This window comes from Homo sapiens, chromosome 8 (assembly GCF_000001405.40).
Source record: "Homo sapiens chromosome 8, GRCh38.p14 Primary Assembly".
Classification (NCBI taxonomy): domain Eukaryota; kingdom Metazoa; phylum Chordata; class Mammalia; order Primates; family Hominidae; genus Homo; species Homo sapiens.
In genome coordinates, this window is record NC_000008.11 from 118,972,521 (window position 1) to 118,997,658 (window position 25,138).

General features: G+C 36.5%; 1 protein-coding gene and 2 pseudogenes across 2 annotated transcripts in view; 2 read left to right on the forward strand and 1 right to left on the reverse strand.

The window, feature by feature from the left end:
* COLEC10 (collectin subfamily member 10) overlaps positions 1-25,138 on the forward strand; it is a 156,193-nt gene that overhangs the window by 20,258 nt on the left and 110,797 nt on the right. The gene's annotated exons all lie outside the window — the stretch shown is intronic.
* Positions 3,993-4,098, forward strand: RNU6-12P (RNA, U6 small nuclear 12, pseudogene; annotated as a pseudogene).
* On the reverse strand, positions 9,487-10,421 carry LOC100286746 (GABA type A receptor associated protein like 2 pseudogene; annotated as a pseudogene).

Sequence of the window (25,138 nt, forward strand, 5' to 3'; positions counted from 1 at the left end):
AATCCAAGGTAGACCTCCAATTTCCAACCTGTACCCTCACCTCCCCCTAAAAACTAAAACAAACACAAAATTATCTCCTAGTCTTCCCCAGTAACCTGAGTTGCTCTGGCTAAGAAGCTCAGAACTACCCTTGACTTCTTACTTTCTCCCATAGGTCATATTCAATACATCTGCAAAACTATGAGCTCTGCCTTTAATATCCATCTACCTTCTAGCATAATCATTACTGTACCCCTACTCCAGGTGTATTAGTTCATTCTCACACTGCTGATAAAGACATACCTGAGACTGGGTAATTTATAAAGGAAAGAGGCTTAATTGACTCACAGTTCAGCATGGCTAGAGAGGCCTCAAGAAACTTACAATTATGGCAGAAAGAGAAGCTAACGTATTTTTCTTCACATGACAGCAGCAAGAAGTGCTGAGCAAAAGAGAAAAGCCCCTTTTAAAACCATCAGATCTCTTGAGAACTCACTATCAGAACAGCAGCATGGGGGTAACGACCCCCATGATTCAATTACCTCCCATTGGGTCCCTCCCATGACATGTGGGGACTATGGGAACTTCAATTCAAGATGAGATTTGGGTGAGGACACAGCAAAACCATATCACCAGGTAACTGATACTTCTCACCAGAATCATGGCTTGAGCTTCCTAACTGTTCTCTCAGCTTCTGCCTTTATTCCGTTTTAGTTATGTATTAATGCATAATAGTTCACCACAATATTAGCAGCTTAAAACAGCATACATTTATCATCTTGTAACTTCTATGGGTCAGGAGTCTTGGCACAGCTTCTCTCAGGGTCTTCTATAAGACTGCAATCAAAGTGCGACCTGGGGCTAAGGTTTTATCTGAAGGCATGACTGGGGAAAGATTCACTTCTAAGCTCACAAGATTCACTTCCTCAAAGGCGGTGGGCCCAAAATGGTCTCAGTTCCTTTTTGGCTGTTGGTCGGAGGCTACCCTCACTTCTTTACCATGTACATTTCTCCACTGTGGCTTCTTGCTTCATCGAAGTACACAAGTCAAAAAGACAAAAGAATCTACTAGCAAGACAGAATTTACAGTCTTATGCAACCTAATCACAGAAGCGACATCCCATTACATTTACCACATTTTATTGGTTATAAGCAAGTCATAAATCTTGCTCACTCTCAAGTGGAAGGCATTAAACAAGAGCATGAGTAGCAAGAGACAGGAATCATTGAGAAGTTCCTATTACATTCTCTTACTCTTTTTTGTTCATGTAGCAGTTGGAGAAATCCTTTAAAGCATGAGTCGGGTCATGCCATACGTATAGTCCAAACCTTCCAGCTATTACATATTTAACTCACAATAGACTCCAAATTTTTCACAATATGCTTGCACCATCCCCATCTCAACTTAAATTACTCTTCCAATACTCACTTTGGTCTGGAAGTACTGACTTTCTTCTTATTCCTCAAACCCACCTGGCCCTGTCCCATTTCAGGACTTTTGCACTGTAATTCACTCTGCTTGGAGCCCTCTTGCCCCATGTACATTTATGGTCGGCCTTTCATTTAATTCAGGCTTTTGCTCCAATGTCACCTTTCTAAAAGGCCTTTCTAGTCTATGCTATCTATAACAGCAATTCCTTCCTTGCTTTCTGCCTCTTTACTCTTCTCTATTTTTATTTTTAGTATTATTTTAACGCATAAAATATTATATACCATATTTAATTGTCTGGGTTTTCTTTCACCACTAAAAGGAAACCTGGAGCAAAGACTATTTTATTCATGCAATACATGAAGACCTATTTGTTAAAATACAGAGGAAGTATGATAAGAGAAATGTAAGCACTTAAGAAGTAGAAAAAGGGGAGTGCTGATTTATTCTAATAATTATACTGTAATCATTCAAAAGGGTATACCAAAGTACTGTGCTCTTACCCCAAGGAAGAGGTGTGTTTTCCCTTAATTAAGATAAGAATTCCTTCAAGGACATTCAGTTACCTTTACTGCTGTCTTATCAAGCAACTTTGTGTCCCTAACTCAGTTTTGTAATTGTCTTGTTCTGGGAACAACTGTAAATGGAGGGGTATTGGCATGAGGGTTTTGATGACTACAGTTGTTCATTCTCACTGTTCTCAATATCTCCCATGGTAATTAATAAAGTGGCATTTCTCCTTAAATTTACGTAAACGTATAAAGTCAAGATTCCAAATCTGAAAAGCCAAAGACTCAACTCTGCACTATGATGTTTTATCGAAGAAGTGGCAGCCATAATAAAACACATCTGAAAAAGTTATCCAACCTTATCCATTACTATCATCTGGTATTCCAAGGAGGTCATATTAGTTTAAACGCACTAATTGCAGGTCTTTCAAAGTAATCAAAATAAACTTAAAGTTTATGGTTTGTTGCTGGGGGAAAAAGGGAGACATTTATGTGGCATTGGCCAGGAAGGTTACTTTTAAAGGGCAGATTTTCATTTGATAAACTGCACAAAACAAAACAAAAATGCTGCAGAAATTTTTCTCTCAGTAGCTACTTAATAAAGCCTAAACTGGACAACTTCCATGCCCTTCGGGGTTTCAGAAATACAAACAGGAAGTTAACATTTCCATAGCAATAATGATTCAGTAATAAAAGCTGAGGAGAAACAATAAAACAGAAGGTCAGGATGAAAGCGATTTACATTTTATTAACATCCTAACACTACATCAGAATAGATATTAAATATTTAAATGGAGTCAGAGTGAAATTAGAAAAGCATCTGTAATCAAATAACTTTTTGTTGTTTGTTTTCAGGCATGGCTTTGCTCAGGTCTTGTGTTAAAGTGCAAACTTACACAGCATTTCTAAATTCCCTCAACTTGTAAATTCTGCTATGTTATCTTACGGACAATTTTTGTGACTAAGTTTCTTGTGTAAATGTTCTTTTCAGGGAAAAGGCATATAACTCATTGTGTCATTCACTTCATTATTGTCAGATACTGTATATTTTAATGAATGTGATGAAATTCAGTTATTGGAAATGAGTCAAATGAATTATTTCGACACTCTTTTAGGCCAATAGGGAGACAGATTGTCCTTTAGGCATGGACAGATCCTATAACTGGTAAGGTCTCCTGGGTTTTCCAGTGGCTTGGATTCTTCTTTTCCAAACTATTAATCTTGCCTTCTCTCTATTAGAGGAGAGAGGTGATTTCCTAAGAGAGTGATAAGATACTTCAACATTGTATAAGGAAGGAAGAACTGAATGTCAAGGAGAGAGAAAAGTGAACGTTCCAACCCTGAAGTAGAGGAAGAATGACCAGGTGATGGTGAACCACTGTTAAGAATAGAAGGAAAGAAGGTAGTGTTAATTCTGTAAACCACGAATTTCTTACCGTGACCTTGAGCTGACCAGGCTTCTGGGTCCTTCTATCTTTGTCAGGTGTTGAGCTTATAAGGTAGATAAAGTAGCTAAGAATTGGGAAACTGATTCAAAAAATTTGGACTCCCTCTCATTGTAAGGAGAATCTATCTTTCATCAATTATCTTTTGTTGTTTCAAAAATACATATCCAGTTTCTTTAAATGTTTGAAATACCTTAATTACAGTTTCTAAGCCTTTCACTCCTTTAAAAATGTGCTGACAGCCAGGTAGTATCCAAATAAATTCATGTTCAATTATAATAGCTACTTATCCTCTTTTATTTTCCCACTTCACCTCTAGCTATTGAAATATGGTTTTGATGTGGGAAATAACACTGGTTTTGAACATTTAGTTGCAATCATGTACTTTGTAGTTTACACAAAATACATAAAAAGTAACTCTTTCTAAGCCTGCATCCTAGTCCTAGAGTGTCCTCACTTAGTTGGGTTGACATATGTGTTTTCATATGCCACAGTACTGGTGGGATTAAAGAGTAGTCTCCTTGTTTTAAATAAATGCAAGCCTGACAGCCAGAGAAATTGTAATGTGACTTTCCTTTGACTATAGTTGAGATAAATTTATATACTTGTACTTAAAATATACAAATTACTGTGCTCGCTTCGGCAGCACATATACTAAAATTGGAACGATACAGAGAAGATTAGCATGGCCCCTGTGCAAGGATGACACGCAAATTCGTGAAGCGTTCCATATTTTTACGTTAGACCTAAAACCATAAAAACCCTAGAAGAAAACCCAGGCATTACCATTCAGGACATAGGCATGGGCAAGGACTTCATGTCTAAAACACCAAAAGCAATGGCAACAAAAGCCAAAATTAACAAATGGGATCTAATTAAACTAAAGAGCTTCTGCACAGCAAAAGAAACTACCATCAGAGTGAACAGGCAACCTACAAAATGGGAGAAAAGTTTCACAACCTACTTATCTGACAAAGGGCTAATATCCAAAATCTACAATGAACTCAAACAAATTTACAAGAAAAAAACAAACAACCCCATCAAAAAGTGGGCGAAGGACATGAACAGACACTTCTCAAAAGAAGACATTTATGCAGCCAAAAAACACATGAAAAAATGCTCATCATCACTGGCCATCAGAGAAATGCAAATCAAAACCACAATGAGATACCATCTCACACCAGTTAGAATGGCGATCATTCAAAAGTCAGGAAACAACAGGTGCTGGAGAGGATGTGGAGAAATAGGAACACTTTTACACTGTTGGTGGGACTGTAAACTAGTTCAACCATTGTGGAAGTCAGTGTGGCGATTCCTCAGGGATCTAGAACTAGAAATACCATTTGAGCCAGCCATCCCATTACTGGGTATATACCCAAAGGACTATAAATCATGCTGCTTTAAAGACACATGCACACGTATGTTTATTGCGGCATTATTCACAGTAGCAAAGACTTGGAACCAACCCAAATGTCCAACAATGATAGACTGGATTAAGAAAATGTGGCACATATACACCATGGAATACTATGCAGCCATAAAAAATGATGAGTTCATGTCCTTTGTAGGGACATGGATGAAATTGGAAATCATCATTCTCAGTAAACTATCGCAAGAACAAAAAACCAAACACCGCATATTCTCACTCATAGGTGGGAACTGAACAATGAGAACACATGGACACAGGAAGGGGAACATCACACTCTGTGGACTGTTGTGGGGTGGGGGGAGGGGGGAGGGATAGCATCGGGAGTTATACCTAATGCTAGATGACGAGTTAGTGGGTGCAGCACACCAGCATGGCACATGTATACATATGTAACCTGCACATTGTGCACATGTACCCTAAAACTTAAAGTATAATAATAATAAATAAATAAATAAATAAATAATCAACTAAAAAAAATATATATATATACAAATTACTTTTCCTAACATAGCCCTTAGGTTGTTAATACTAGCAAGTGCTGTACCAGTCTCACACTCCTGTGATTTTATTGTACTGAGCATCTACAGGAAATTGTGTAAGATATTGTGTAAATGGAATGCTGCCCTCTTATGGTTGCACAAATCCTTCCAGGGTCAAACATAAAGCCCCAGTCGCTAGTTAGGGTACTTAATAGAAAGACGTAAGAACTAGGAAGACATAAAAAAATTAACCCACACTGATTTTACAAATTACAAAATGGATTGAATGGAGGAGACTCATACCAATTTCATATAAGTTGACAGGATAGAGCCAAAGATAAAATCAAGTTCATTGTTTCTTTCCTTCTAATGCACATTTGAATATGATTTTTAACTTCTGATTTCATAATTCAAGTATTTCAAGGGAAGTCGCAAAACATCAATTTTATCAAAATAAGTTATAATAGGGTAATTACAGTAAGTCAATATGGTGTCACATTTCCTCAACCACTGAAGGACCTCTTCATTTTGTCAAATTAGAAGTCTCAAATATCCAACCAAAATTTGAAAAGGTCCCAAATATCAAACTCAAAAATTTTCAATTTCCAGGACATTTTTGATTATATTTTCCTAAGATCATTCTTATTCTTGTTTACCATCTGGGGAGTCACAGTTGAATGCTTATCCAATAAATGACAGCCTGTCAAACATTGGATAAAAGCTGCTTTTTTTTTCCTTAAAAAACCTCTTCCAAGATAACTATTTGCATTTTTGTTCTCTATGCAGTTTTAAAAATATATCTGTAAGTTCATATTACTGTAATTTATTTATTGAACATAAATCACCTTGCATTATATATATACACATATATGTATATGATTCTATATAGTTTTATATGTTCTGATTGCTGAGGCAAAAGGTATGTATTTGCATATAAAATTTAGATAGACAGTGTTAAATTGCTTCTGAAATAGGTATACCAATTTACCCTCCCACCAACAGTATACAAAAGCCCATTTTGCCATATGCTTATAAATACCAGATAAACCTCTCATCCATGCCTTTCAACTTTTCTGTCATATTTTCTATCACTTAGGCATTTTTAAAACTATGAATTTGGAAAATCATTTTATCATTCTTATTTTACAAATCTAATTTACCAGTTTGTCGCTTATCTTCTGATTTTATTTATGGTGTTATTTGACACAGAGATGTTTTAAATTTAAGTAGTTTTCATGCCTTTGTTAAAGTAATTTACAAGATTTGCTCACAAAGTTTATATAAAATACTCAAATTTTCCTTTAGTGGCTTTGTGATTTATTTTATTGCCTTTATATTTAAATCTTTAATCTATTTGAAATGCATTTTATTATATGGTATAAAGTAAGATCATTTGATATTTTTTCCAAATGGTTATTTTTTTAAGCATTTATGAAACAGCTCATTGAAGCTCCACCACTTAGAACTGTCACTTTAAATCAAGTACCAAACCCTTATGTAAACTCAGACCTTTATTTGTTCTCTCTACTTTTTGGACATTTATTTTATTATTTTAACTTTATTACGTGTAATGACATCCAATATTCCATAAATTCCTCTTTTAATAAATAGAAAGTGACTATTATAGATGTACAAATTTTTGACATTATTAAAATACAGTAAGGTAAACAATAATAATAATAATAATAACTTTCCACCTAGAATTAGCTGCTAACATTGTGGCATATTTGTTTTCAGTTTTTTTTCAAATTACTCTGATATGTTTGTAAACATAAAACTAATATTTTGTAAATATGCTTGTTATAAAGAATTTAATCATTCCACAAATTACAAATAGGCAACCATCATCCCAGTGTTCAAGAGCTGGAAATTGTCATCATTACATTAGTTAAATGTCATTTCAAGTATTGTTCATGTCTATATAAATATACAAGAATGGATGCATGAACAGACAGACAGAAATGAATTTATTAGAAATAAATATGTCTGGAATAGCTTTCTAGCTTGAATTCTGTGAGGCTGCAGTCAAGCTGACAGCCAGACCATACCATCAGACATCTTAAAATTTGATCAAGTTGAAGAGTCCAATTTTAAGCTCACTCACATGAGTGTTGGCAGACTTCTGTTCCTCATGGGTTGTTGGACTGATGGTCTCAGTTTCTTGTCTTTCATAAGGCTGCTCAGAACTTGGCAGCTTGCTTCCCCGGTGTGAGTAATCTGAGAGAGAGATAGAGCCCAAGACAAAAGCCACAGTCTTCTTACAACCTAATTTCAGAAGTCATATAATTTCTGCCATATTTTATTAATTAGAAATGAGTCAATAAGGTTAGACAACCATTAAGGATTACTCAAAGGCATGAACACCAGGAAATAAAGATCATCGGGAGATCTTTTTAGTACCATAAAACATTCTTTTTTTTTTTTTTTTTGAGACAGTTTTTCTCTGTAGCCCAGGCTGGTTTGCAACGGGGCCATCTCAGCTCACTGCAACCTCCACCTCCTGGAGATTCTCATGCCTCAGCTTCCCAAGTAGCGGGAATTACAGGCGAACACCACCATGGCTGGCTAATTTTTGTATTTTTAGTAGAGATGAGGTTTCACCATGTTGGCCAGGGTGGTCTCGAACTCCTGATCTCAGGTGATCTGCCGGTCTCTTCCTCCCAAAGGGCTAGGATTACAGGCGTGAACCAACATCCCCAACCCCATTAAACATTCTTTAAGCTGTAGTCTTATTTTTTTTATACCTGTCATCAAGTTAAGGAAGTTCCATTATATTTGTAGTTTATTAAGAGTTGTTATAAGTAGCAATTGATTTTTTTAAATAAAATTTTGCTTCTACTCAGGTGATTTTATGTATTGTCTTAGCTTTCTTGAAGTATGTTGTTCAAGATAGTACCATTTTCCATATACTTAGAAATGAAATCTTTATTTATGGTAAACTTTAAAAATACTTATAGACACGTTCAAAAATTCAGTTGACATATTGATTGTAGAAGTTTCATTTGTAGTTTAATATGTGAAAAAAGATGGTCTTCCCATTATGTAAATTGTATATTTTCCTATGGCTCAAATGTGTGTTTTTTTGTTTTTGTTTTTGTTTGCAGGGGGGTGGATTGTTTGTTTTTCACATCTAGGGCAAACTTTGTTACTTCTTCATATTGACCCTGAGCATTTTTTTGTCTAACTTATTTCAAGGTACCATATATTTCTTTGCAATGTTTATAGTGGTAGTTTTCCTATATATATATATATATTTCCTAGCAGTGTTTGCCTACAGGGTCTTGTTAGTTGGAGTAAAAGTGTAAATCAGGTGGTTATAACACAATAGGGAGTGGTGGGGCCTGGCTAAGCTCTTCTGTGGGTTCCGCCTCAAAGTGACAAATTCAACTAAAGCAAGCAATGAAACCAACACTGCAACAAACAAAACATATCTATACTCTTGGTTTAAAACAAACAAGAAAACAAACACCATGCTTTTTAAAACTATCTGCAGAATCATGGGCACCAAACTGAGCTCTGTGATATCCTTTACATTACTGCAATTTAATTTTCAGTTATGTTGCTTCCCTATGTCTATTTCTCAATTTTTATTTTGTTTAAAAAAATTTATCAATTTATCTAGTTATTTTACACTTTTAATGCTTTTAGGAATACTATACACATTTTTATCTCCCAATGGTTATACTTAAATTTAATAAAATGTATATTTTATCCTAGGTTTTTTAAAAATAAATTGTGTGGTATATTTTCTAACCTTGGGTAAAAATGAGATATTCAAATATTCTATAAATTTATCTTCTGTTTGCTGTAGTAATTCTATTTCTTCAGGGGGCATTTCCATCAAGTCATTGAATTGTTTTCCCTATTTGAAACTAAAGTTACTTTATATATCCAAAGATTAGTGTTTTGCTTATCCTGATGGAATAGAGAAAACAAATTTTGTTCAGCAATTGAATCTGATATGGTCAGAGATGTTTGAATCCTGCTATTGATGTATTTTAGGCCCAGGTGATGGGATAAGAAAACATTTAAGATTGATTAAACCCCGTTTTCTCAGTTCTCTGGTGAGTTGCGAAGGATTTGCATGAAACAATGACTTCCTGGAGGTCCTCCTAGTGTGATGAAGGGTTTGTGCCAGCTGAAGTTAGCTATGTGTTTCCTGACACATCTATTCTCCGTATGACTCTGCCATGGCATCACCCCTACTTTTTTTTTTTGACTTTATAAAAGATAGTTTTATTGTTAATTATTTACCTTAGTAATTTCAGGAAGAAGAACAGACTAGCTCAGTCCGACATGATTGGCAGTTGGCAAAATCTGGGGAAGCAAGTGTTCTGATTGCTAAGGATTTAATTATATTCTTTTAATACTTACCTATCTAATGCTTCACATATAATCCAGAATAAAGGTATCATCTCCTTCCCTTTCACTTTAATGCTACACCTACCTCCCTTCAATCTGGAAATAATTTCCTTAAATATGGTTTTCAGAAGAACAAGTTCCCTCAAGAATAAAGCCATGAGGACAGTGCACAAAAAGAAAAACTCAAAATGAAACTCTACATGATAATTTGTCTAAAGAAACAAATCTTTCAAAATATTATGAAATAAATCCAGGTACAAATGCACTTGTTCATCTATGTGAATAGGTTCTGGTATAATAACTGAAAATGGCTGGCTGTTTACAAGATACACAAACAGGAACGGTGCACCTACACATCTAATGGCCCTCAGAAGCCCAAAATGTTCCAAGTGCTGTAGGCCAGAACATACAAGAATCAATCTTCATCTTTTTCCTTCTGAAAAGCTGTCCCATAGTTAGGCTGGACTATGGGACTGTCTTGTTCACAAACAGGAAGATCTCCTTTTCAGAAGGAAGCTGAATCCTTTTCCTGGTGATTCATATTAAATGAGCTACAGTGGCATCAACTGGACCCAACTTCCTCTGGTTGTCAGTGTTAACAGCCTGAGAGCCTGAGAGCTTTTCCACAATTACCAGAACCTGGTCAGGATATTTTGCTCAGATCTTTGCGGATTCTGTACATCTATGTTCCAGTGAGTGTTCTTCCTTGAATATCTACTTGATGAAGGTGGTGAGTAAGAGGTGGAGCTGGCTCTTGGAGCTGTGGATCTCAGTGCACCAACCACACCATCCTCTGATTTATTTAGCCAGCTAGCCATGTGGTTACAGCTTGGGTTGAACATATGCAGTCCACGATGCTTCTTGTGTCATCATGGTGCTGTTTGCATGAAATGCTGGTAGAATGGAGATGTGTTCTACAATGGATGTCCTACATCTTTGCTGTTGCTCTGAGCCGTTGCTCTGAACTTAGCAGTATTTTGGTGTTCCACAGAATTAGAGTGAGATCCTTTTGATTTTTTCTCCTAATGAGCTTTTCCTTTGTTGACACCTCAACTGATCAGTTATTTCAATCCACTCTTGTGTCTACTGGAATGCATAAAATCCTTCCCGAATTTCAAAGGCTAGTATAGATTTTTACTCCTTTTGTTTATATTTCTTTGATTCTTATATGAGACTTTGAAGGCTAGTGAAGATAGGGAGGAGTTACATTTACAGTGTCAGTGTGATATGTTAAAGCAGATATCACATGACATACTCTTCATGAACCCAGTCTGCTTCCCAGCAACCACATGGGCTTATTTTATGGAGGCTCATAGATACCTCTTAATAAAATCATCCAGAATAATTATTATGTGTTGAACTGTGTCCCTTCAGAAGACACATTGAAGTCCTAACCCCTGGAACTTGTGAATAGGACCTTATTTGGAAATAGGGCTCTTAAAGCTGTAATCAATCCAGAATCTATAAAGAATTTAAACAATTTTACAGGCAAAAAACAACCCCATTAAAAAGTGGGCAAAGGATATGAACAGATACTTTTCAAAAGAAGACTTACATGCAGCCAACAAGCATATGAAAAAATGCTCAACAACACTAATCATAAGGTAAATGCAAATCAAAACCATGATGAGATACCATCTGACACCAGTCAGAATGGCTATTGTTAAAAAATAAAAAAATAACAGATGCTGGTGAGGTTGCAGAGAAAAGGGAATGCTTAAACACTGCTGGTGGGAATGTAAATTAGTTCAGCCATTGTGGAAAGCAGTTTGATGATTCCTCAAAGACCTTAAAACAGAATTACCATTCAATCTGGTAATCCCATTACTGGGTATATATTCAAAGGAATATAAATTGTTCTACTATAAAGACATGCATAATGTATTAATTGCAACACTATTCACAATAGCAAAGACATAGAATCAACCTAAATGTCCATCAGTGGTAGACTGGACAAAGAAAATGTGGCACATATACATCATGGAATACCATATAGTAATTAAAAAAAAAATGAGATCATGTCCTTTGCAGCAACATGGATGGAGCTGGAGGCCATATCCTAAGCAAACTAACACAGGAACAGAAAACCAAATACTATATGTTCTTACGTATAAGTGGGAGATAAATAATGAGAACACGTGGACACTAAGAAGGGAAAAACAGACCCTGAGGCCTACTTGAGGGTACAGGGTGGGAGAAGGGAGAGGATCATAAAAAACAACTATTGCGTACTAGGCTTAGTACCTGAGTGATGAAATAATCTATATAACACACCCCCATGACATGAGTTTACCTACATAACAAATCTGCCCATGTACCCCTGAACCTAAAATAAAAGTTAAATAAATAAAGATGTAATCAAATGAAGAAGAGGCCATTCTGGATTAGGGTCATACTGGATTATGTAGATCCTAATCCTGTGGCTCGTGTTTTGATATGAGGGATATTTGGACACAGAGTCACAGAGGGAAAGCACCGTGTGATGATAGAGGCAGAGATTGGACTGATGTGTCTATAAGCCAAGGAACACAAAGAATTGCCAAAAACCACCAGAGCCTAGGAAAAGGAAAGGGAGGTATATTAGTTTGTTTTCATGCTGCTGATAAAGACATACCCAAGACTGGGCAATTTACAAAGAAAAGAGGTTTAATAGAGAACTCACAGTTCCATGTGGCTGAAGAAGCCTCATAATCATGGCGGAAGGCAAGGAGGAGCAAGTCACATCTTACGTGGATGGTGGCAGGATAAGAGAGCTTGTGCAGGGCAACTCCCATTTTTTAAAACCATCATATCTCGTGAGACCCATTCACTATCACGAGAACAGCACGGGAACGACCCACCCTGGTAATTCAATCATTTTCCAAGGAGTCCCTCACACAACACATGGAATTATGGGAGCTACAAGATGAGATTTGGGGTGGGGGGGACACAGAGCCAAACCATGTCAGGAGAATAGTTCCCTGTACCCTCAGAGAGAGCATGGCCCTTCCAAAACCTTGATTTTGGATGTCTAGCTCCCAGAATGGTGAGAGAATATTCTGTTGTTTGAAGCCACCAAGTTCATGGAACTTTGCTATAGCAGCCCTAGGAAATGAATATGGTAGTCATTTGATAATTTGAAGAATTCAGGTCCTCCTTAAAAAAAAATTGGTAAGGAGTATTTGATTGCCCACCATTCTGCAAAACCTCTTTCTTCATGATTCTGCGATGATCACTAATTTTGTAAGAAGGTCTGAGAAATTTCATAATTTTTCGTTCTAGTTTCTATTGTGCAGGAGTATGAGAGAAAAAAGCGGCTTCTGAGCCTGGTGTAAATCTTACCTAGGGCAGTTGTTGAGTAAATGTGTTATTTTAAAAAAAAAGGTGATTTAAACAGGGATTTATGAGGATGTACTCTCCTTTCCACATATGTTATAAGATATACATTCACTGGGTCCAAAGGGCAGATTGAACATGTGCTCAAGCCTCCTTCTCCCTCTCTTGGTCCCCAGATATAACATACAGTTCTAGAAAATAAAGGGGTCTAGAAATTATTAGGAAATCCTGAAGAAAGAGATAAAGAAAATCAGTGGTCTAGAAATTATTAGGAAATCCTGAAGGAAGAGAAACCTAGAGTCAAAAGCATAGCTCCAAACACATTCCAGGTGGAAGAGGACTCATAGTTACTCCAAGCTGGGTGGTGGTAAATAAGATTGTCAGGTAAGGGCCCTGAAGTGCATATCAGGGGTTTGACTAGAGACCTATAGCAGTTCCGATCTGAAGTTTTCACCGTCTTTCAACAATCAGTTATGCCAAGCAGTGACCAGAAGAGGCAACTACTCCACTACCATCTTTGGAGCCAGAGTGCAGTAAACAAATGCAGCACTTATAGAAAGGCTCCGTGACAGACTCTCTAGTCATGATGATCCCATGGTCAAGAATCACCAAAAGTTGGGGAAATCTAATTTAATGATGAATATCAATATTAATACAATGAAAACTCCAAACAAAACCAAAGCAAATACAAACATACCATGAAGTTACTAGAAATGACAAATTAAGACTTTAACAAAAGTTTATAACTAGTAAAGATATGGAGCAATATTATATCTATAGAAAAGAAACAGATGTAGAGATTGGAAATTCAAAATCTGGCCCTTGAAATTTAAGAATGCATCTGATGCTCTGAGCAGCAGAATAAACATAAAAGTTCATTCACTGAAGAGTTATAAATTGAATTGAGACATTTTCTGTACTCAGGAAAAGAGAACAATGTGATTGAAAATGCAGAAGAAAACCAACGTCCAACCATTCTAAATAAACCTGTTAGAATTCCAAAAGAACATAAAGAGCATGGATGGAATAAAATATTCAAAGAAACAATAAAAATTATTTTACAGTGCTAAGGAAAATAAATAGATTATAAAATTGAAAGTAATGTTTGGATGCCAAAAAGATGAATGAAAAGAAGACCCACATCTAAGCCAAAATGTAGAAACAACTCAAATGTCCATAAACAGATGAATGGATAAACAAAATATATTTATGTACACTCAATAAAATAGTATTTCTCCATTAAAGTGAATGAAGTACTGATGCATTCTACATTGTGGATAAACCTTCCAAGCCTTATGATAAGTGAAAGAAGCCAGTCACAAAAGGCCATACATATTGTATGATTCAATGTACATGAAATACCTAAAACAGGTAAATTTATAGACACAGAAAATTGGTAGTTTTCAGGTATAGGATGTGGAAGGAATGGGGACAGATGTTTTAATGGGTAAGGGGATTTCTTTTAGGGTGTTGAAATGTTTTAAAACTAAATGGAGGGTATGGTTGCACAATATAGTATGCTAAGTACCATTGAACTATGCACTTTTAAAAGATTAATTTTATGTTATGTGAATTTCACCTTTAAAAAAAGAAAAAGCAACAGGGGAAGAGAGGCGAATACTTTGTCTCGTCTCTGAGAGACACTTGGGAATGCTTGCGGAACTGTTCCTGGAGAGTGAAAACAAAAAAAACAAACCCACACCTCGATATATTGTAAGTGGAAATTTAGAACTTCACATGTGAAGAGAAAATTCTAGAAGTTTCTGGAGAGAAAAGCAGACAACTTACAAAGGAGCAAGAATGATTGATAACCAGGCTGGGTGCAGTGGCTCACACCTGTAATCCCAGAACTTTGAGAGGCTGAGGTGGGCAGATCACTTGAGGCCAGGGGTTTGAGACCAGCCTGGCCAACAGGGCAAAACCCTGTCTCTACTGAAAACACAAACATTAGCCAGACGTGGTGGTACAGGGCTGTAATCCCAGCTATTTGGGAGGCTGAGGCATGAAAATCTCTTGAACCCAGGAGGCTGAGGTTGCAGTGAGCCGAGATCGCACCACTGCAGTTCAGCCTGGGAAACGGGGTGATAATCTGTCTCAAAAAATAAAAAAGAAAGACTGATTACATACTCCTCATTAAAAACACTGAGTTCAAGAAAACATTTAAACAATATCTTCAAAGTGTTGAGAAAAAAAAATCTGAGCCTTGAATTTTATGTCTAGACCACTATCATTCATGTGAATGGCAGAATAAAGATAGATGTAGACATTCCTGGACTTAGGATATTTGTTACCCATAATCCTATCTGAAAAGCTTATTAAAGTTATATTTCACCAAAATATTTAAAAATCTTCGATGTGTTTTATCAGGAGCATGATAAGCAAAGAAACTGATAAAACTTTTTATAAAAATAATAAATAGTCTTTGGTTTCAGCACCAACAGGTAGAGTGTGGAAGTCATCACTCCTGTCCTTAGAACAATAAAAGCTGAACAAACTAAAAATCAACGCATGTTTGGTTCTACCAGAGAACCAGGGGCTCATGGCAAACCACCCCAAAATCTGGAGAGACAGGTGCATCCAGAGAGATCGAGCTGAGATCTGTTCACCTGGAAAAGAAGCTGCTGGAGCCATAGACTGGTGGAACCATTAAATGGTAAATTTGATAAGTTGTTGAAGGCTGACTGTGAACTAGCATGAGTAAGAAACTATTAGGGACCCCAATCTTAGGGGTTTCCTAAAAGTTTGTGGGTTTTGCTTCCAGGAATATTATCAGATTCTCATCATGAGGATCTGGGAAAGATCCCCTTAGGGTTCTGGCGGTGGAGACAGGGGTAGGGGAGAGTAAGTATTGAGAAATGTGTCCAACTCCTCTCTCTAACAAAGACGTAGTCTCCATGTGAAAGTCTTTAGCAGAGAGCAATTCTGAAATCTGATCACAGCCAGAAACAGGGAATTCTTCCCACTCTAGTCCCTTCCAACCCTCTTGTTTCACCTAAGAGGGGAAAGACATCATCAACAGGAGTTAAGGCTTCAAGGAAATAGACTGGGAATGAGGCAGCCAGGGAAAGGAGTAGGAGACGAGAGAAAAAGTGGCATCACTGGCGAAACATCTGTGAAGGTCACTGCCCTGAGTCACAGACTGACTAAAAATCCAAGATCTAATTGGAAGATTATAGGAGGTTCCTTCTTCACCACACCTTACCATCACACTGACAAGTATAATAACAGTGGATTATAGCTGGAAAAGCTGCATGACACAGACTCTCTGAGGACTGCATAAAAAATGCCCAAGTCAACAGGGGAGCCAACAACAGAAACTCTAGAGGAATTAGAAACCTCTGACACCTATAGCTACAACAAATATTAAACATAATCTAACTCCTAGCCAGATTAACATAAATCCTCACACTACAGGCCATTTAGCTCAGTTTTTATTACCCAATACAATATGCCTGCCTTTCAACAAAATCATAAGGCATGCCAAAAGGCAAAACAAAACAAAACAAAACCAACCAATGAACAAAAACATTCTGAAGGGACAAAGCAGTCATCAGAATGCGACTCAGATATGACACAGATATAGAATTATCAGGCAAATGATTTAAAATAACTATAATTAATGTGCTAAAGGCACTAATGGAAAAATAAGATAGCAGACGAGAACAGATGAGTAATGTAAGCAGAGAGATATTCTAAGAAAGAATCAAATGTAAATGCTAGAAATCAAAAAGCAACAGAAATAATGAATGCCTCTGATGGGCTCATTAGTAGCGTGGACATAGCTGAGAACAGGATCAGTGAACTTGAACATAGATAATAGAAATTTTCTAAACTGAAATGCAAAGAGAATAAAGAATGAACCAAACAGATGAGAAAATCCAAACTATGTGACAATATCAAAAGGTGTAATGCCTATAGTTGGAATACCAGAAAGAAAGAATGGAGCAGAAGAAATACTTGCAAAAACCATGCTCAAGTGTTTCCCAAAATTAATGTTATACACCAAATCATGGATTGAGTAAGCTTAGAGAACACCAAGCAGGATTTAAAAAAAAGACAGACAAAATACACACACACACACACACACACACACACACACACACACACACACCCCTACCTACCCATAACCTACTCAAACTGCAGAATACCAAAGACAAAATCTTGGAAGAACAAATAAAATTATAGTCTTGAAAATTTTAAGATTATATCAATGTGTTAGTAGCTTGTGGTGAAAGGATGAAGGCAACTAAAAATTTGCATGTGTGTGTGTGTGTAGGAAGGCTGTATACACAGATTAGCTCTAGATAGTAATAAATGTCACATATAGGTTGAGTATCCCTTATCCAAAATGCTTGAGACCAGAAATCTTTTAGATTTCAGATTTGGAAATATTTTATTATCATGCTTACCAGTTTAACATCCCAAATCCAAATATCTGAAATGTTTCAGTGAGCATTTCCTTTGAGCATCAGGTTGATTCTCAAAAAGTTTTGGATTTTGGAGCATTTCAAATTTTGGATTTTGGGGTTTGGTTTGCTCAACCTGTACTATATATGTAGATACTGTGGAACTGTAACAATAACAACTTGGGGCTTTGAAATAGGGTACGTAATTTCAAATCACTAGAGGAAAAAAGATAGATAAAAACTGAAGTCTTATCAACCAACTGTATTACATCTCTACTGAAGAATCTGAGGTCATTAAAAAGAACAAGATAGATTGTATGGTCACTGAGCTCAAAATATTTTATCTAATATTATCCAATAAAAACAACATATTTTCTTACATATGTATATGCATATAAATATATTTTAAAAGCTGAGAAGAATATACCTTTAGGAAGAGAAAGGAAATCGAAATGGAAAAGGGAGAAATATAATTTTTACTTACATTGTTTGAATATATGTAAACATTCATGTGTAGCTGATACAATTTGGAAAGTGACTTCTAAAAACTAAAAGCCACTAAATAGATTCTGTCTTAATGCTGAAGAAAGGAAGATGGACCTGAATTTTCCATTCTTCACTGTAAATGGGAGGACCAAGTTAACACACAGTAATACGTAAAATTACAAATTATTTCTCTCCACAAAACCTTCAAATATCATGTGAGGGGATAGAGCTTCAAAGGGAAATAATTTGTTCCTGGAACACAATTTTTCATTTAAACACCATCTTCATTTTGAAGAGAAAACAAATGGGTGCAATATGACCCTGCTGGCCTTAGGCCTACTCCTGTACCACAAGTGCCATATGAAACCATGAAAGGAACCACATCAAGGCAGATGAGACCACTGAGAACTTCAAGGAAATCATGTCAGCCACGTATGATTTATCTGTGGACCTTTGTTGGGCAAAGCAAACTGAGAGTCCCAGAGCTAATGGGAAAAGTCATCAAGTTAAAAGTCATCCTTGGAAAGAACATGAAGGAGCAGGAATATAAAAAGTTTGGAAATGCTGTCAATTCCATATACTTAGTACTCTTTCTTTTAGGGAATTAAAGAAAAAAAAAACAAAACACCATAATGCTGTTCATTGTACTCAAAGGCAGTATTATTCTCACAATTTGGAAAATCTTTTATTATTTCATTTAAGCCTAGGAAACAGTTTTTAGTTAATTTTATTTTGACAAATTATTAATCATATAATAAATACACTATTTGGGGGCATTTTTAATATTTCTGGAATTTCACATATATCATTTATGATCTGGAGGTCAGTGTTGTGTAGTTAAGAGACTGGGCTTAAGGCCACACTGCCTGAGATAGCATCCTACCTGCAACACTTACTAGCTATGTGACATTTGTCAATATGTACCTCCCTGTGTCCTAACTACCTCAATAATAAAATGAACTAGTACCCATTTCATCAAGTTGCTGTGAAGATCGAATGAGATACGACCAGGAAATTTCTCACAATCCTCCCTGGTACAAATGAATACTTATGAAAAATATCTATTAAAATCTTTATTCAACCCCAAGAGGTAGATTCCCCTTCTGAAGATAAAGTCACTGAAACCTACAGAGGGAAAGTAATTGGTTTGAGTTTGCAAATGGTGGATGGAAGTGGTGGAGACAGAATGCAAACCAGTGGAGTCTGGCTCCGAAACCCCTGGTCTATGCACTCACCATAATACATTGTTTTGAAAACTTTTCGTACCCTTATCTTTTGCTTTTCCACTTGAACATAAACTCTGGGAAGACAGAGGCAACTGTATCTTCTACTTCTGGATTTTCTTGTGTGGCCCAATTCAGTATCCTGAGTCTGTGTGGCTAATATTGCTGAAAGGAGAAAATTGATATTAATAAAGCACTTAAGAAACAACTGTCAAGAATTATGGCCAGGTACTGAGATAAATTATATTTATATTCAATTGAATATATTTATATTCAATCCTTACTAAAAAACACTTCAAGAGACAGGTATTATTATTCTTGTTTTACAGATGGTTTACAGTTGTTGCCTAGAGGACAAATCTTTCTTTCCTTGGACTGTACATTCTTCTTGTAGGAGGCACACAGTAATTGACAGCATGATTTTAAAGCTAGAGTTGATAAGAAATTTGATTCTGCTACTTACATAAGAGTGTGATTTTTGAGTCATTAAACTTCTCTGAGTCTCATTTGTAAAATGCAAATAGAAAATACAGCCTACATCAATTAATAATTATAGTAAATGAGGAAATACATGTAAAGGTCTATATCGGAATCACAGCAGTCTATAAATATTAGCCTTCACTATTATTATTTTTAATATGAATTTCAATAGAGTCAGTTGAAGTGAAAGGATCTTTTTAAAAATTTTAACCTGTCAGTGTGCTCTTCAGTGTGAGAAACATCCTCTCTTCAATGGAAAAGCTTTAGGGGTCATTTATACAGGTAATTGAATCAGTTTAAACAACTCCACTAGACAGTGCCTGTCCAAAATAATCATTGTTTCAGTAAAATGGTTGGCAGGACATGGTAGAAGATATTTTTAAAATCTTACTTCCTAACAGAAGTGTTGCCTATAAGTTTATAGGAAGAGGAAGCTTGCGATGGGCAGACAGAAATCTGTATGCAACAAATATTACTTCTCCAGATAAAGAACTCGACCTTAAAAAGGACAGGGAAGCCAAATCTATTAAGATTTTATCATCATTTGGTGTTTATACCTCAGAAGTTCAAAATCCCTGGGTGAAGAAAACACCGTAGATATTTTTATCTCATTCTACCTTTAGAAACTATGATAAACTACCCTTTAACCAGAAAGATCAGTAAATTGAATATTCTGGTTATAATCACATAATATTTATCATACATCCCAAATTAATTAAAAGGTAGAATATTCACATCAAACATTATACCATAAACAATATACATAATATTAAGCTTTCAGTGTGTAAAATGTTTACTTTGATTATTCTGGAAGCACTCTAGGTTTTCAGAATGTCCCAGTATTATCATTATGAACCTTAATTGTTAAGATAATATAAATTTCAGCACAAGGTAAGGAATATCTTCTCACAGAGAAACAGCAGCTCTACAATGGAATGGGCCATAATGGAATTTCGTGAGTTCCCTTTGCAGGGAGGTTTAAACAAAAGCTGTAGGATTGCTTGCTTAAAAGTTTGCAAAACAGATGTTAGTATAAGATGAGGAGTACTAGAATTGTTTATAAGAGCTGGTTACATTAGTTTCCTAGGGTGTCCTTAACAAAGTACCACAGATTGGGTGGCTTAAACAACAGGTATTTATTTTCTCACAGTTCTGGGGGCTGGAAGTACAAGAGCAAGATGTCAGCAGGATTTTTTTTCCCAAGGCCTTTCTCTTTGGCTTGTACATAGATGTCTTTTCTGTTTTCTCACATGATCTTTCTTCTTCTTGTTTTTTGTTTGTTTGTTTATGTTTCATTTTGTTTTGTTTTGAGCCAGAGTTTCACTCTTGTTGCCCAGGCTGGAGTGTGATAGCTCCATCTCGGCTCACTGCAATGTCCACCTCCCAGGTTCAAGTGATTCTCCTGCCTCAGCTTCCTGAGTAGCTGGGACTACAGGTGCCCACCATCACACCCGGCTAATTTTTGTATTTTTAGTAGAGATGGAGTTTTTACATGGTGGCCAGGCTGGTCTCAAACTCCTGACATAAGGTGAGCCACCCGCCTTGGCCTCCCAAAGTGATGAGATTACAGGCGTGAGCCACCACACCCAGCCATGGTCTTTCTTCTATGTGTGTCTGTGTCCTAATTGTCTCTTCCTATAAAGACACTGGTCATATTAAATGAGGGCGCATGTTAGTGATCTCATTTAGCCTTAAATACCTATTTAAAAACCCCATCTCCAAATATAGTCACATTCTGAGATACTGGGGGTTGGGACTTCAACATATGAATTTTGGGGTACTTAATTCACACTATAATAGGGGTTTATAGGAGAAGCACTGGGGCCCTGGTTAAAGATGAAGAATTCCTCAGGTTCACTCCTGAATATTGATTCAGTAGACCAAGGGAGTTGCATTTTTAATGTGTCTAATAGCTAGGACTTGCTTTTAGCCAGTGTCAGGTGATCATCATCTTAAGCTAGCTCTATCAAAATGGAGAACATATTGTCCCACATGAATAAACATTTCAAGAATAGGGTTTTAGGGGTACCTTGATTAAGGTCTGAATACAATAGCTTGGATTCTCTTTTTACATTCCTCCCATCTGCTTTCTAAGTGTGGCCTCCACTTTTCAGTCCTCTTGTAGCTGGAAGATGCCTTGACCAAGCCCCTATGTTTACAAAGGTTCACATTTAGTGGAGGTGGAGGCAAATCATGTAACAGTTTACCTGTGAAGTGGAAAGATAGCTCTTAAATGGCAAAAATGGATCTTAAGTGGCAAAACAAATGAGAGATGGGTAAATTTCTACACTGTGGAACCTGAAAGAGCCAATTTACATATACATAAAGTTACCAAATATACAATTACACAAAACTGTAATTCAAAGTTTATTTTAGTAATAAGTAAATAATACTAATAGTGTTTACTTAGTGCTATGTGTCAGCCACTAGCTAGAATGCTTCACGTGTATGTTTAATACTCACATTAGGTGCAGTTATGATCACCATTGTTCAGACAAGGAAACAAAGTCGGCCAGAGGTTATATCCCTTGTCCAAGGTAGAGCCAGTGAGAGCCATGAGGAGGCAGAACTGGGATTCGAGTCTTTGTCTCTGGAGTCCTTACTTGTTGATGCTACTTTTTGCTGCCTCCTCAACACACACACAGAGGGTCTCAGAGTTATCCATCTCTAGTAGAGCTGAACTCACTCAAATTTCAGTAGTTTTGATGTGACAGTAACATCGGGGATGAAATAAAAGTTATGTATTTATTTTAATTATGCACATACACTAGAAAGACCCACTGATCTGACTTTAGTTTGAAAAGTTGTTTTCCAAATTTAATATACATGAGTTCACTTTATCTCATAGCACTGACAAAGGGACCCTTCACAAGGTAACTATTAATACTTATTAAGGATGTGTTAATTCAATTCAATGTGGGCAAAAGGGGAAAAAAAGGAGTTAAATAATGCTGCTTTATTATTTAAGTCCCTCCTTAAGCTACAAGTCTTATCTAATAATTAGGTCACTTGAAAACCTTACCAATCAGCAAACTTAGAAGCCTAACATAAATACTACCCAGCCAGTATTCAGTGTGTATTGTCTTTATTTGATAAAGTATATTTCTTTCACTATTGATTTGCAGCAAAGGTGTAGGTCTTTCCCTGGAATTTGAGCAGGGTGCTTTGCCCTATTGCTAAGAAAATGCATATAAGTGCCTGAGACAGTTTAGTGGTCTTTACCAAAAATAGCTTGGCCTTTTGACTCACCCAGGCTGCCAGTAAACTCTGTATTTTTTCCCTCTCTCCACAGATATGCTAAATCTGGTAACATCACGTCAGTGCATTCCGAATTGGATGCAACACTGAATTTGTTTTAATTTGGAAATCCTTGTTATCAGTTCATATGTTGAATCAGAGAATATTGCGGCAGGAACAGTCTGGCAGATTATTTAGCCCAGCCTCATAGACTTATAGATAACAAAAGAAAATACCAGAGATGTTAAATGACCCACACAAGACCACATTGCTGGTAAGTGGCAGGCCCAAAATAACTCTGGGCTCCTGGTGCATGAAACAATTTGTTTTCTACCAGAGTCTTAGCAGGAGGTTTCAGGGGTGGGATATAGCCCACCCCTTCAAAAATAGTTTGGTAGAGTAACACAAGGTATGAATCCTAGATGCTACTGTATTTAGGGAATTTTCATATTGCTATGTAATGCTATAGCAAGAAGGAATATTTAAGAATCAAATGGTGCAAAATCCAGGAAAGCAAATAGATATTTTAATGATCAAACTTGGATATAGGTAGCTCTCTTTCTTTTCTTTCTGTTTTTTTTAATTGTGGTAAGAATATTTAATGTGAGATATACCCCCTGAACAAGTTTTTAGAGGTACAGTACAGTATTGTTGACTGCAGGTACAATGTTGCACAGACAGTTTCTAGAACTTATTCATCTTGCATAGTTGAAACTTTGCACCTGTTGAACAGCACCTTCTCAGTCCCCTCTCCCAAAACCCCTGGCAACCAGTGTTCTACTCTCTGCTTAATTTGACTGTTTTAGATAACTCACATAAAAAAGGATCATGCTGTGTTTGTTCTTGTTTGGCTTATTTCAGTTAGCATAGTGTCCTCAAGGGTCATCCATGTTGTTACACATGATAGTTTCCTTTGGCTAAGGCTGAATAGTTTTCCATTGTGTGTACATACAACATTTCCTTTATTCACACAACCATGATAGAGATTTCTTGGCTATTGTAAATAATGCTACAATAAACATGGGACGGCGCATATCACTTTGAGATCTTGATTTAAATCATTTTGGATAAATACCTAGAACTAGGATCATTGGATCATATGATAGTTCTATTTTTAATTTTTTGAGGAACGCTCGTTCTGCTTTTTACAGTGGCTACATCATTTTACATTCTCACCAACAGTATATAAGAGTTTTAATTTCTCTGCATCTTTGCCAACACTTGTCTTTTTTTAAAAAATAAGAGCTATTCTAAAAGGTGTGAGGTGATATCTCATTGTGGTTCCGGTTTACATTTATTTGATTATTAGTGACGTTGGGCATCTTTTCATATACCTGTTGGCCATCTATCTGTATGCTTTCTGTGCTAGTCTATTTGTGTTACCACAGTGAAATACCTGGAACTGGGTAATTTATGAGAAAAGAGGTTTAATCGGCTCATGGTTCTCCAGGCTGTACAGAAAACATGGCACCAGCATCTGCTCAGCTTCTAGTGAGGCTTCAGGGAGCTTTGGTTCATGGTAGTAGGTAAAGTGGGAGCAGGCGTGTCATGACAAGAGCAGAGCAAGAGAAAGAGTAAGGATTGGGGGAGGTACCACACTCTAAAACAATCAGCTCTCACGTGAACTATCAGAGTGAGAACTCACTCATTACCACAGGGGTGGCATCAAGCCATTCATGCGGGATCCACCCCCATGACAAACGCCTCTTTCCAGGCCTACCTCCCACACTGGAGATCACATTTCAACATGAGATTTGAAGAAGACACACATCCAAACCATATCACCTTCTTTGGATATATTTCTATTTAAATCCTTTGCCCATTTTAAAATCAGATTTTTGTTTTCCTCAGCTTTTGTTTTGTTTTGCTATTGAATCACATGAGTTCCTTATATACATTTAATAATAACCTCTTACCAAATATATGGTTTACAAATATTTCCTACAATTACTTAGGTCATATTTTCACTCTGTTGATTGTTTCGTTCCCTGTGCAGAGGCTGTTTAGTTTGATGTGGTTCCACTTGTCTATTCTTGCTTTTGTTACCTGTGCTTTTGATGTCATATCCAATAAATCATTTTCAAGACCAATGTTTTGAAGCTTTTCCCCTGTGTTTTTTCATAGAAGTTCTAAAGTTTCATATCTTACTTTTACATCTTTAATTCATTTTGAGTTTAGTTTTGTTCACAAATACTTAATAAGCACTTTAATCCTCATGCTGACCCTTGAATTACACTTTACTGTCCTCATTTTTCAATGAGAAACAGATTCAAAGTATTTATGCCTCAAGTGACATAGCAAAATTGTGATGAAAACAGAGTCTAGACCCAGCTGCAACTGATTCTGAAGGCTATTCTCT